This window comes from Homo sapiens, chromosome 2 (genome assembly GCF_000001405.40).
Source record: "Homo sapiens chromosome 2, GRCh38.p14 Primary Assembly".
NCBI classification, from domain to species: domain Eukaryota; kingdom Metazoa; phylum Chordata; class Mammalia; order Primates; family Hominidae; genus Homo; species Homo sapiens.
Genome location: NC_000002.12, coordinates 113,933,780 through 113,948,655, shown reverse-complemented (window position 1 = coordinate 113,948,655; position 14,876 = coordinate 113,933,780). Strand labels below are relative to the sequence as shown.

The following is a 14,876-nucleotide window of genomic DNA, read 5'->3' as shown; positions in this document are numbered from 1 at the left end:
TTTCATGGTTAACTACATGGCTCAGATATGAACAAAATTTGTGGTCACAAAAACATAAGCACTGAATTTCAACCTACTTGAAATTATAATGTAACAAATGAGATGAAAAGGGAATAGAAAGGTCCTGTCTGTGATGACAGAAGAAGGATAAAAAAGACAATCTTCCTCTTCCATAGTTGGAATTCGACAGACAACGCCTAACACAGGGCTGGGCACAGTGGCTCATTCCTATAATCCCAGCGCTTTGGGAGGGCAAGATGGGTGAATTGCTCGAGCCCAGGAGTTCAAGACCAGCCTGGGCAACATGGCAAAACCCTGTTTCTACGAAAAATACAAAAATTAGCTGGAAGTGGTGGCACATACCTGTAGTCCCAGCTACTTGGGAGTCTGAGGTGAGAGGATCACCTGAGCCTGGGGAGACTGCAGCGAGCCATGACTCAGCCACTGCACTGGGTGACAGAGCAAGACCCTGTTTCCAAAAGAAAACAAGAAAAGCCTAACACTGAAAAAAAATTTGAAGTTGCAATATAACCAAGCAATTCATAGCTAAGGAGGTAATCAGCAAAAGAAGCAACTAAGAAGAGTTTGAAGTGGTTACCTCTAGAAATACAAAACAAGAGAAAGAAACATGCAGGGCACCCCTAGTTTTTGTTAGGATACGCAGACCAAGACTTTTAAACCATGTGCATATATATAACTGATTTTTAAAAACAGCCTTTAAAAAAAAGAAAACAAAACAGGTTTTTTAAAAAGAGAAACAGGTTTCTCATAGAAGAAATTACTTATAAGGAACATAAAGCTATAGACAACAGAAAATGTTTTAAAGTTAAAAAATAAAGAAAAATTGGTGTATGAAACAATAAAGGTTATTCAAATTAATAGAAAAAATGATATATGAAACATTAGCAGCAAGACACATTTTCATCCAGCCAACTATACCTTTCCTAAGCAATATGAAACACATTTTATTTACATATCTAAAGCTTTGGGTTATTTATTTATGAGACAGGGTCTTGCTCTGTTGCTCACACTGGAGTACAATGGTGCAATGCCAGCTCGTTGCAGCCTGGACCTCCTGGGCTCAAGCAATACTCTCACCTCAGCCTCCCAAGTAGCTGGAACTACAGGCACACGCCACATGCCTGGCTAATTTTTTGTATTTTTTTGGTAGAGACGGGCTCTTCCCATGTTGCCCAAGCTGGTCTTAAACTCCTGGGCTTGAGTGATTCGCCCACCTTGGCTTCCCAAAGTGCTGGGATTACAGGTGTGAGCCACCACAACCAGCCTACTTCAAGGTTTTTAAGAAAGCCAAGGCATCAGCTAAGCTCATTTGTCAAGCATATTCCATTCAAATGCTCATCTCCTATATCCCATGCTATTATCCATCGTGTGGTCATGATCCTATTCATGCAGGACATTTGCTCAGGATCTTCTGCAATTTTCTAATTCCTGTCCCCAACTTGGAGCTTTAATATTCTTCTCTAAGATTTCAATTTCAAGTTAATTGATGTGCCTTAAATGAAATGAGGTCTGACACACTTCTATTAATCTACTCACATATAAATGGCCCATACAAAAATCTGTCCTAACTTCCAGCTACATGTGGTTATCTCTCCCGTCTCTTGACTCTCCGCTAAAATGACAGCAAGAGAATTAAAAGGAAAGGTAAATGACCAAGGATGAATCAGGGGGCAAAAAAACAATGAATACAATATTTCAATCCTGTTTGGAAAAGAAACTGTTAAAATCCTCTATATAGAATGAGACCCACCCTCCTCGGTTCCCTTCCAGACCGTGTATAACAAGAAAGTTAATTCAAACCCCAATAAATAAATGAATGAATAAATGACTGTACAAACAAAATGAAGCAAATTATACCATTCTGGACACGGGTATGGGCAAAGATTCCATGATGAAGATGGCAAAAGCAAAAAATGACAAATGGGATCTAATTAAAGAGCTTCTGCACAGCAAAAGAAACTATCAGCAGAGTAAACAGACAACCTACAGAATGGGAGAAAATCTTTGCAAATTACACATCTGACAAAGGTCTAATATCCAGCATCTATAAGGAACTTAAATAAATATACAAGGAAAAAACAACTCCATTAAAAAGTGGGCAAAGGACATGAACAATTTTCAAAAGAAGACATATATGTGGCCAAAAATCTTAAGAAAAAAAGCTCAACGTCACTGATCATTAGAGAAATGTAAATCAAACCCACAATGAGATACCATCTCATACCAGTCAGAATGGCTATTATTAAAAACTCAAAAAATATTCTCACACCATCCCTCCTAAAAAATGAAGGAAAGAGAAAATATTTTTAAAAAATAAATACAATTTAAAAAGAAAAAAAAAGGTGCTGGCAAAGCTGGAAAGAAAAAGAAACGCTTATACTCTCTTGGTGTATATTAGGTGTAAATTAGTTCAACCATTGTGGAAAACAGTGTGGCAATTCCTCAAGAACCTAAAACATAAATATTCAACCCAGCAATCCCACATACCCAAAGGAGTATAAATTGTTCTATCATAAAGGCACATGCATATGTATGTTCACTGCAGCACTTCACAAAAATAAAGACATGGAATCAACCTAAATGCCCATCAATGGTAGACTGGATAAAGAAAATGTGGTACATATACACCATGGAATACTATGCAGCTATAAAAAAGAATGAGGTCATGTTCTTTGCAGGAACATGCATGGAGCTGGGGGCCATTATCCTCAGCAAACCAGTGCAAGAACAGAAAACCAATTACTGCATGTTCTCACTTTTAAGTGGAAGCTAAATGATAAGTAAACATGTACATACGGAGGGAAACAACAGACACTGGGGCCTATCGGAGGGTGGAGAGTGGGAAGAGGGAGAGGATCAGGAAACATAGCTAACGGATACTAGACTTAATAATACCTGGGGACAAAACAATCTGTACAACCTCCATGACAAAAGTTTACCTATATAAAAACCTGTACATGTACCCCTGAACTTAAAGTTAAAAAAAAAGAAAATGAAGCAAATGAATAAACAAGGTGAAAGTGTAGGAAAAGCTGAATTTTAAGGGAAAAGAATCACATTACACTACTTGCCTCAAAAGTGAACAACAGTCTCAGGTATAATACTATAAATATTACAATACTATTGATTTACCTAATAACAATAACCTAACATGTTGGCAGGCTGGAAGAAAAGAGAGTCTAGAAAGAACTAATCTGAAAGGAGGCTAGCATTTAAACCACTAACAGTGACATATCAAGAAACAGCTCCATCCATGTTCCTGCAATACCATCACAGTATTTAGAAATCTGGGGGTTACTACCAAGAGCAATAACTAAAAGCTAGTGGATGCTCTATAGAACACAATGGCAGCAGGAGGGTGAAGAGCTGCTAATTTTAAGTCTGTCAGTGTTATTTGACCTTTAAAATTGTGTGTATACATCCTCTTAATCTTTATGTTTTGATAAAGTGCAAAGAAAATGTACCACCAAAAACCTTCACACTCCAGTATACTAGTCTGACCACAATTCCTTATCCTTCTCATGCTCACTCCTCTGCTACCAATTCACAATTATTATGTGTCATTTCATCATGATCTCCAATACCTGTACCCTCACTATCCCTAGGTAATTCAGCTTTCAGGACTTGCTCTCTCCTCTATGCTGTAATACTTTAATCTCTGCTTTATCAAAACCTTTTCCTCCTTTCCCACAACTGTCTGGGGGAGGCGAGAGGACACTATTGCACAACTAAAAGTTTTGGGTATCTAACCTGCTACCTTGAGTAAAGAATGGATGCCCCATACTATTAATATGTACTCACTAGTCACCCTCTCAATTCCCCTCAACAGTAAATATGAAAGTCATTATTCTTCACAAGCCCTCAATTTTTTTTGAAATGAAGTCTCGCTCTGTCGCCCAGGCTGGAGTGCAGTGGCGTGATCTCGGCTCACTGCAAGCTCCACCTCCTGGGTTCACGCCATTCTCCTGCCTCAGCCTCGCGAGTAGCTGGGACTACAGGCGCCCACCACCACGCCCAGCTAATTTTTTTTTTTTTTTTTTTTTTTTTTTTAGTAGAGACGGGGTTTCACCATATTAGCCAGGATGGTCTCGATCTCCTGACCTCGTGATCTGCCCGCTTCGGCCTCAATTTTAGTCCAGTCCCTTCTCCCAAAACATAAGCTTGATTCCACCTCATAAAAAAATTAAAACTATGAACTATGATGATGAACTTCTTCAACTACCTACCTGTGCTTCTGCCCTTCCTAGTTCATTTTCCTGTACCTATACTTAATTCCTTCCCTCCTGTAACTGGAGTAAGCCCTCTTAAAAATTTAAAACTATCTTGAGCCTTATTCTTGCAACTGAATTCTTACTCGTCCACTGTCTTTTTCTTTCATAGCCATCTCTCAGAATGTCCAGACTGCTGATTTCCAAACCTTCACCTCTCACTGAGATAAGTAACAAGCTGCTCTAACGTATCACTCCATTGAAACGCCTCCCCTATGATCATCAATAACCTAGATGCTGAAAAACTCCAAGTACTTCTAAGGTTTCCTCTAATGTTACTTCACTGCAGCAACTGGCACTATTTACCCTCCCTTCTTGAAACATTCACTTCTCTCAATTTTATGACCATAATCCTTTAGCTTGGCTTCTACCTCTCTGTCATCTTCAGTATTCTTTGCAGGCTCTACTTACTCAGCCTGTCCACGTGTCTGTGTTCACGAAGGCCCTATTCTTCACCTTTCTACTCCACAGCCCCTTCTCAGCCAACCTCTTCCTTTGTGCCCCACAAAGGGTGATGACTTTACAACACCCAAGTGTTTGTTTTTGAACCTTTTAAAAGATGCATATAATAAACTCATCTTTGTCTATTTCACCTACTCCTCCCCTTCAGTATTACAAATTTCAGTGGATGGCACACTGGGTTGCCCAAGTTACAAACCTGTGAATTATCACAGATTCCTCATATTCTTACTCCCCTCATATCTAAGCAATTACTGATTATGTTGATTCTATTTTTCTCTCACCTCCTTCCTCATTCTCACTGACCCACAAATACTATTCATCTTTCATCTAAAATACTATAGTAAAATCACCTATTTCCAACACAATTCACACCTCTGTTCCAACCCGTCCAAACCAATGCTGCGAGAGTAACCTTTCTAATATGGTACACAATTATCTTCTATGCTTAAAATTTTTGCATGACTACAGAATCTAGCTAACTCCCTTGCATAACATATCTGCCCTTCAAGACTGGGTCCATGAATACCTATCTGGATCCCTCTCCTACCAATCTGTCCTCTATACTTTTCTTTCCAGCACTCTCATGTCTAAGACCTCTGCCTAGCTAACCTTCTGACAAAAATACATATACTCCCCTACCACACATGACTGACAAACACCCATTCATCCTTTAAGTCTCAGTTCAACCATTATCTCCCCTGAGATGTTCTCCCAAGCAGACTTACATGCTCTTTGTTCCTGTGCCCTCAGCAGATACATACACTCATTAAAGCAACTATAACCTTACGTGTTTAAATACTCATCTCTTTTATTCTTTGAGCTCAGTAAGAGCAAGATAAAATAATTTTTCATCTTTGAATACCCAGTGCTTAAGCTGAGATCATGAAAATTCAAACCATTTAACATTTGCTGAGTGAATAAACAAAATTTTAAAAATAACTATTCTTAACATTAAATAAGCAGAGTAAGTACGTAATATTAGTAATTCTATTAATAAAGTTACAATTCTGATACTAAGTTACCAGAAGAATTTTCCATTATTAAAAGTATGTATTTCTTAATTTAATAAAGCCTTTATGTTGCTAAAACTTCATAGACAGAAGACTATTTTGCTACTAGTTATATATTTTAATGGTTAATTGAAGGTTCTTTGTATAATGGTCATTTTACACAAATAGGGAGGGGGGGAGCTTTCTAGAACCTTTCCCAAAATATTTTATTTCAATTACAAAACTTTACCTGAGTCCATGATGGAGGGAAGAAAAAAAAAATTTAAGGGCTCTCCTCTTTTCATGACCCCCCCATAAGCCACACATATTTTTTAAAAAGTTTTTTCTAAATCTGCAAAAAATAGCAACAATTTTGCTTATTTTAACAAAAGCAAATTTTTTCTTTAAAAAGTTCATAAAATGTTTTATAAACTTTTCATAAAAACTCAAACTTTTAGTGTACTAATAAAAGTTTCTGAGATTAATTCTCTCTGAATATCTATTAATTCATATTTGCTGCTGAATACTTTTAAACAATTCCGTTAAAAAAAATTACCTCTGGATGAAAAAAGATTTCAGGTCCCAAAAATCTCTCATAACCAACATCGATAGAAAACTCTTTCTTTGAGATAGCATTGATTCCAGTATACTGTTTAATCCATTTTGACCCATCTGTATCATACTTGTTAAATTCTTTTACTAAATCTGGGCAGACATAACTATAGCGCTCCTGAAAAACAAAGAAACAAAAGTAACTTTTTTTGCTTATTATAGGAACAGTAAAGAAGAATGGCATGTTTTCAGTAAACTATAATCCAATAAAAAAAAAAAACTCTTCAGAAAATAAAATTAGGAAATTAAGCTGGAAGAAAAATTTGTTAGGATATTATCATATGTGTAGTACAAATAAACATACTCATCTCCTACACATATTTTCTGACTTTAAATATAAACAGTATTTGAGAGACTGGAGAGCTGACTTCTACTATTTCAATGTTATTTCCTGAAAATGTTCACTAATGTCATTCAACATTTTCTGTCTCAGTAATAATGAATCTTGTGCTGTAGGTAAGGAGAATAAATAAAATACAGAACTGAAGAATAAGTAATAATTGTGATAACCACACAAATTAATATAGATCCTTAATATCTATCTGAAACAAAACTGATTACGGTCTGAGTAAATAAAAGAGCAAAGAAAAAAGGCTAAAAATATAAATTACTCTATTTTGTTGCATATTTGGTTATATGACCTAAGTAAAAGTTTTCATCAAAAACACTGAAAAATATATTATAGATTATAACATCATATTTGTAATTTATAAACTCCCAACTGCCAACCAATATTTGTTTTATTTTTTTAAAAAAACTTCCTTTTCCAGTATTTTTACACATCACAGGCACCATCCAAGATAGATGCAAATATTACCAGTAATAATCAAAATACACAAAGAGAAAAAATACTGGAATCCGAAGACATTTGATTACACTATTTGAGGTCTTCTCCAAACCTTGGAAGTGAGAATGACAAAGAAATGATATTCCTTTAAAGACATTCAGAATGACCATCAATCTTCTCTGGAATAGATTTAAATCTCTGGTGTTTTCTCGTTTTGCTTTAATTTCACAGATTTCCCAAAGATGTTGAATCAGTAGTATTCACATTAACTTTTTATATATTTAATTCTTATGCCACCAACTTGGGGTAACTTTTGGTAGTCATTTACTAATTTACTACCTAGGAAGTAGTTGATAAATTTTCATTCTTAAGCTCTGACGAGCAAGGAAAATCCCATAAACAAGCAAAGAGGCCCAGGCATGGTGACTCACATCCAGCACTTTGAGATTCCGAAGCAGGAGGATTGCTTAAGGCCAGGAGTTCAAGACCAGCCTGGGCAACATAGCAAGACCTCCATCTCTACAAAAACTTAGCCAGACATGGTGATATGCATCTGCAGTCCTAGCTACTCAGGAGGCTGACGCGGGAGGATCACGTGAGCCCAGGAGTTTGAGGCTGCAGTGAGCCACGAGTGTGCCACTGCGCTCCAGCTTGGGTAGCAGAACAAGATCCCATCTCTACAAAAAAAAAAAAAAATCAATAAAAATAAGAAATTAAAAATTTTAAAAATTTACAGGTAATTAAAAAAAAAAAAACCATGGAAACAGAGACAAGTAAGTTACTTTTGCCATGGCAGTTCTGCTTTTCAAAACACGTGAAACCCACTGAAATTTTTTGGTTATGTGGCAAATAATAAGTTTGAAAGACGATGCTAAAGTATTTTGATAGTTTGCATGAAGCACTGATATAATACTTACATGGCAGAAAAAAATTAATAAAATACTTTAGATAGCCTTCATGTTTTTCTTCTATGTGCCCTATCACTTGAGCCAAGCACTGCTTCTATACTATAGCACAATGAATCAATTGTATCAAAATAATTTTTATGACAAAAGCTTTTAGAATTAAAATAAAGAATTCAGTGAAGAAACTGAGATGCAAGGACTTTATAGTGAAATAATTATTTATTTTTAATAAAGAGAATAATCACAAAAATTTATGTTAATGTCATTTGGTAAAATGTTCTTATATTACTCCTCTCAAATATAAAATATGAAGAAAACAGAAGACAAACTGCTGTAATAATTTTCTTTTAAGAAACACAAAGAAAATGTAAATATATTTAAGGGTAATAATTTATAACTGGTTAACAAGATTATTTCAAGTACTCTTCTTCTATTAAAAATTTCTCACGTTAATGTTATAAATGTGATTTTAATTTTTAACTAAATTACACTCCTATCACACTTTTTACCTTTACTGCCTTAGCAGTTTCCAAGGATTGTTCTGGAGGGATTCCTACTTCTCGGTCTCTCAGCAGTTGCTGAATAAAATATGTTATATCTCGTCCTGCGATTGGAATGTGTTTAATACAGCTGCCAATCACATACCCTTCAGCCTAGAGAGGGGAAAAAAGATACCAAATTTACTTTCAATGTTTTGAAAATTAATATAACCCAAAAATATGAACCAATAAAGACCAATTTATTAAGTTAGTGTATTTATAGTCTCAAGTACTGCTTTATCTCAGAACTTACCTTTATTCCTCAGAAACTATAACTAAGAATGGCCAGCAACTTAGATTTATTTTCCCACTGACAGTTTATAACTATGACTAAAATAACTCAACAATATAGAAATAATAAATTTCAAAATATAAATATCAAATGGTTTAGATAGCAGACTTTATATCAGATGGTACTATTTTTAAATCATTTATAATTTCAGTAAAAAATTTAGATTGCTTCATAAGAAATGTGACAAAGTGCTTATCATTTTCCTAATCAAGTATGTATCCATTTCACAAACCTGAAGCTTTCCACACACCATCATAATGCCAAATAACTAAATTCTGTAGAACTGATTCACAAATTTACTGATGTGTCAGAAGTATAACAAATAGTGTGGCAAAATTAAATTTCATTAGGAAAGAATATTAAGGATGCCTTCATCTGGCATGACAGAATATTAGGGATTGAACTTACCCTCTCAATTTAAAGAGAAAACAGGACAATTTATAAGAAATAAAGGTTTTCGGCCGGGCGCGGTGGCTCACGCCTGTAATCCCAGCACTTTGGGAGGCCGAGACGGGCGGATCACGAGGTCAGGAGATCGAGACCATCCTGGCTAACACGGTGAAACCCCGTCTCTACTAAAAATACAAAAATTAGCCGGGCATGGTGGCGCGCGCCTGTAGTCCCAGCTACACGGGAGGCTGAGGCAGGAGAATGGCGTGAACCCGGGAGGCGGAGCTTGCAGTGAGTCGAGATCGCACCACTGCACTCCAGCCTGGGCGACAGAGCGAAACTCCGTCTCAAAAAAAAAAAAGAAAGAAAGAAAGGTTTTCAGACATTTGACAATCGGCAGAGTAGGGCAGAGATACTTTCTAAGAAAAGGGAAACAAATAACGTGAATGTTACACTCTATCCTACTGCCTAGGGAGAGTTACTAGGCCACAACAATAGGAAAGAGAACTCAAACTGGTCTCATTAAGTTAGGGATATAGAATTTAAAGGTCAGAAAGGCCAAAGTGGCTGAAGTTTGTAGGCCAAATTATTGGAGGGGGAGGAGTTGAACCAACAGGGAGCTGGGAAGATGTGAAGAGAGTACCTCCTTAACTGAATACTGATCAGCACACTCCTGTGAGGAAACCATCAAGGTGAGAGAAAGGACCTCTAGAAAAAAGTAGACAGAACCACCACCAGAGCTCACACATAGCCAGAAATAGTTCCTGATCCCACTAGCCAAAGTTGAAAGATGTTTTCAAACACAAGACATGAAGTAGAGTCCTCAGAAGAATATTGCCTCAAGAATGGGGACAAACCAGCCCTGGACAAAAACCTGTTACGGACCTGCTTAATAACATTTAAAAGGAGCCCCTGAGAGGATCAAACTAGTTCCTGGTATCTTAACTATGTCCCAGGAAAAAATCCTAAATACTTATAAAGAACTCCAAAAATACAATACACAACAATGTATAGAGTGCCAAATCAAAAATTATAAGCATGCAAGGAAGCGGAAAAACACAACACTTAACGAGGAGAAAAACCAAACAATACAGAGGAATGACAAGGACAATAAAACAGCAACTATATACTCCATATAATGAAGAAGGTCAACAATGAGGATGAGGAAGAGAGAAATGGAAGATATAAAAAGACCCAAATGGAACTTCTGAAGAAAAAAATACAGTATCTAAAATTTAAAAATCTACCAGATGAAAAGAAAAACACTAGATGAGATTACAGTGGACTACACAGTGAAGAAAAAATAGTGAATTTGAAGACAGAGCAATAAAAACTATCCAAAAAAAAGAAAAAGATTATAAAAAAATAAATGTACAGAGCATCATGATCTTTGAGACACTGTGAAGCAGCCTAATATACATGTGATTAGAGTACCTAAAGGAGAGAAAAGAGGAAGAGAAAAAATATGTAATCAGTAACAGACAAAAACTTTCCAAATATGATGAAAATTACAAACTATATATACAAGAAGCTCAATGAACCCCAAGGAGAAGAGACATAAAGAAAACTTTACTTAGGTACATCACAATCAAATTGCTAAAAACCAATGAATCAGGAATAAAAAGAAAATCTTGAAGACAGCCACCCAAATAAACATTACATTCAAAGAAACACACACAAGAATAACAGCTGACTTATTTTCAGAAACAAGGTAAGCCAGAAGACAGTGGAGTGACATCTACAGGGGAAAACTGTCAACCTTCTATACCAAGCAAAAATCATCTTTCAAAACTAAAGGAGAATAAAGACTTTTTCAAAGGATGTACAAAAGTTGAAAGAATTCAAAGCCAGCAGATCAGCACTATAAGAAATGTTGAAGGATGTCATTTTGACAGAAGGAAAATGATACTAGGTGGAAATCTGGACCTTCACAAAGGAATAGAGAGCACTAGATATGGTACGTGAATAAAAGAACTCAATTTCAAGGCTGGGCACAGTGGCTCATGCCTGTAATCCCAGGACTTTGGGAGGCCAAGGCAGGTGGATCACTTGAGGGCAGGAGTTCAAGACCAGCCTGAGCAACATGGTGAAACCCCGTCTCTACTAAAAATACAAAAAAATTAGCTGGGTGTGGTGGTGCACATCTGTAATCCCAGCTACTCGGGAGGCTGAGACACAAGAATCGCTTAAACCCAGGAGGCAGAGGTTGAAGCGAGCTGAGATCGCACCACTGCACTCCAGCCTCGGCGACAGAGCAAGACTCTGTCTCCAAAAAAGTTATCTTTTAAAGATAACTTTTTGCTACTGGGTAAATTGTGTTTTTCCTCCCCACCAAATTCCCATGCTGAAGTCCTAAGCTCTATCTCAGAACGTGACTGTTTTTTGGAGATAGGGTATTCAAAGTGGTATCTAGTTAAAATGAATTCATTAGGGTTGCTTTCTCTAATCCAATATAAGTGGTGTCCTTAAGAAGAGGAGATTAAGACACAGACATGTATGGGGAGGACTATGTGAAGACATATAAAGAAGATGGACATCTAGAAGCCAAGAAGAAAGTCTTCAGAAGAAACCAACCCTGCCAAAATCCTGATACCTATCCTTTCCCACTCCTCACATTGTAGTTATATCACAATTTTTGGTTCTAACCTCCAGACCTGTGAGGAAATACATTATTCTTTAGGTACCCAGTCTGTAGTACTTTATTACGGTAGTTCTAGCAAACTAATACACCACTCAAAATGAAACAAGTTAACAATGTATTATTGAGTTCACAACATATAAAAGTAAAATGAATGACAATATAAGAACAAAGACTAGAAGGTCAAAGCTGTTGTATAATTATTATTTATGAAGTAGTAGAATGTTATTTGTAATTAGACAGTGGTAAGTTAAAGATGTTTACTACAACCCATACAACAACCACCACCAAAAACAAACAAATGACAACAGATATAGCATAGCTAATAAGTCAATAAAGAGAAAACAGAATAATAAAAAATACTCTACTAATTCTAAAGAAGGCGGGAAAAGTAAACAATAAAAAGGAATAGCACCCCCCCACCAACCTTTTTTTTTTTTTTTTTTTTTTGGAGACAGGGTCTCACTCTGTTGCTCAAGCTAGAGAAGCTAGAGTGCAGTGGTGAGATCATGGCTCACTGCAGCCTCAACCTCTCCAGGGTCAGGTTATCTTCCCTCCTCAGCCTCTGGAGTAGCTGGGACTACAGTCATGAACCACCACGTTCAATTAATTTTTGCATTTTTTGTAGAGACAGGGTTTCAGCATGTTGCCCTGTTGGTCTTGAACTCCTAGGCTCAAGCAGTCTGCCCACCTTGGCCTCCCAAAGTGCTGGGATTACAGGCATGAGCCACCATACCAGCCAGAATACCCACTCTTAATGTCCTTACTAAAACTCATTCTTTTACATATTGATAACTTCTATTCTGCAAATTACCTATTCTAATTATCAACATGCTGATAGTACTGCTCAGATGTGCAGCTGTTAAGAAAAGACTGAAGAAAGGCAGAACCAGGTCAAATCCTAGCCTCACTACCTATTATTTGGTGACCTTAGGCAAGTCAATTATTTGCATTTTATTAATGAGTAAACTGAGGTACTCAAAGAAAAATATAATATTTATCACAGACTGATTTTCAGATTTAAACAATAATTTTAAGATGAAAAATTATTTTATGTACCACTAAGAAAGAAAAATAAACTGCCAAGTAAACTAAAAAAAGCTATCAAATGCTGGACACGTCCTAATTTCCAAGCTTACTAAAATCCTCCCAAAGGCTACATAAAATCTCATATATCCACATAATGAAATATTATTTGGCAATAAAAAGAAATGAAATACTATACGTGCTAAAACATGGATGAATCTTGAAAATGTTCGGCTAAGTGAAAGCACCCAGTTACAAAAGACCACAGTGTTTAACTCCATTTACATAAAATGGCCAGGACAGGCAAATCTAACACAGACAAAAAGTAGATTCGTGGTTGCCAGGGGCTGAAGGAATCAAGGGGAAATGGGTGGTGACTGTTAATAGTTACAGGGTTCCTTTGTAGGGTGATGAAAATGTTCTAAAATTGTGGGGACGGATGGACTTTGTGAATATACTAAAAATCAATGAACTGTACACTCTAAAGAAGTGAATTGTATGGTATATGAATTTTATCTTAAGCTATCGTTAAACAATGGCAGTTATTACTAAAACCATTATGACATATCATGAGGGTGAAAGTGGTGGAGGACCAGGAGTCTAATCCAAAGGTAGTCACCCTGAGGATGTAATCTTTAACAGACATTGCCTGATGCATTAAACACTGGAGTGAGAATAAAAAAAAAAAAAAGTTCAAAATAATGTAAATCCTTAAGTGATATTCATTATAATATAAAAATTACTTTAAAAGATAAACCTTTCTCTATATACCCATTTAATAATAAACAGTATGAATTCTAGTAGTCATTTTGAATTCATTAGGCATAATTTTTTTAAAACTTGATGTATCATTAAGAACTGAAGCACAACGGCCTTGGAAGAAAAATGTTATTTCTGACAATCTAATTTGATGCATTTTTCTTAATATGCTTTATTAAGTACAAACCATAAAGCATCTACTAAAGTTCAGGTACTTAAAACTAACTGTTATACAGTTACCCTGTACACCAGTCTGAAATCTGTTAATTATGAATAAAAGAGGTCATCAAATGGCTAACACACATCCAACTGGAAAACAGAATGAAAGCCATTAATATACTTCCATTCCAGATATTGCAATTTGTAATTTTCTTAATTGCAGTACAAACCTACAGTAAAAGAAACATTTTGAATTGTTTATAAAAGTTTTAAACGGTGAGCAAAACATAGCTATAACTGGACAAATGGCCAAATTATAGTGCAGCATTTAAAGTTTTTTAAAAGTAACATTAATTCGTATAATTTAACTTTGCCAGATGTGTTATTTCATGTTCTGTTCAGTAACTGTAAAATAGCCTTACCACAGGAATGACATGAGTGACACCATCTCCACTGTCTATTACCGTACCGGTCAACGTCCGTTCTCCTACTTGTCTTGAGGTCCAAGATGCAGCTAAGGCAAGAACAGCCTTGAGCACAAAGAAAGAAGAAAGGCAAAAAAACAAAAAAAAAAAACAAAAAAACAAAGAGTTAATCGAAAAAAAAAAAACTAGTTCCCTGGAGTACTTTATTCAATTTTAAATGTAGTATCTGTGGAAAGAAAATACATAAAATTAATTTTGTATTATGCAATAAAATAGCTCACTCCCTACATTTTATTAAGACAAACTTAGAGGTTTACATTTGCTTTTAGGAGCATGATTTGTAAGATTTACATATTTTATAAAGGCTATTTCTGTCCTAAAGCTAAAAATGTGGAAGATTGCATTAAACAGTACAGAACTAACTGTCTGTAATCCCAGCACTTTGGGAGGCCGAGGCGGGCAGATCACGAGGTCAGGAGATCGAGACCTTCCTGGCTAACACGGGGAAACCCCGTCTCTACTAAAAAATACAAAAACTTAGCCAGGTGCGGTGGCGGGCGCCTGTAGTCCCAGCTACTCAGGAGGCTGAGGCAGGAGAATGGCG

General features: G+C 36.2%; 1 protein-coding gene across 3 annotated transcripts in view; it reads right to left on the bottom strand.

The window, feature by feature from the left end:
* The window catches only part of ACTR3 (actin related protein 3), a 72,663-nt gene that overhangs the window by 13,941 nt on the left and 43,846 nt on the right, over nucleotides 1-14,876 (bottom strand). For all 3 annotated transcript variants that reach the window (NR_102318.1, NM_005721.5, NM_001277140.1), the window contains 3 exons: nucleotides 14,270-14,377; nucleotides 8,554-8,697; nucleotides 6,297-6,470 (listed from right to left, as the gene is read on the bottom strand). Coding sequence is in view for 2 of the 3 variants with exons in the window: in NM_005721.5 (NP_005712.1) it covers nucleotides 6,297-6,470; nucleotides 8,554-8,697; nucleotides 14,270-14,377 (426 nt within the window). In the remaining variant the exon portion in view is untranslated. The remainder of the gene's footprint in view (nucleotides 1-6,296; nucleotides 6,471-8,553; nucleotides 8,698-14,269; nucleotides 14,378-14,876) is intronic.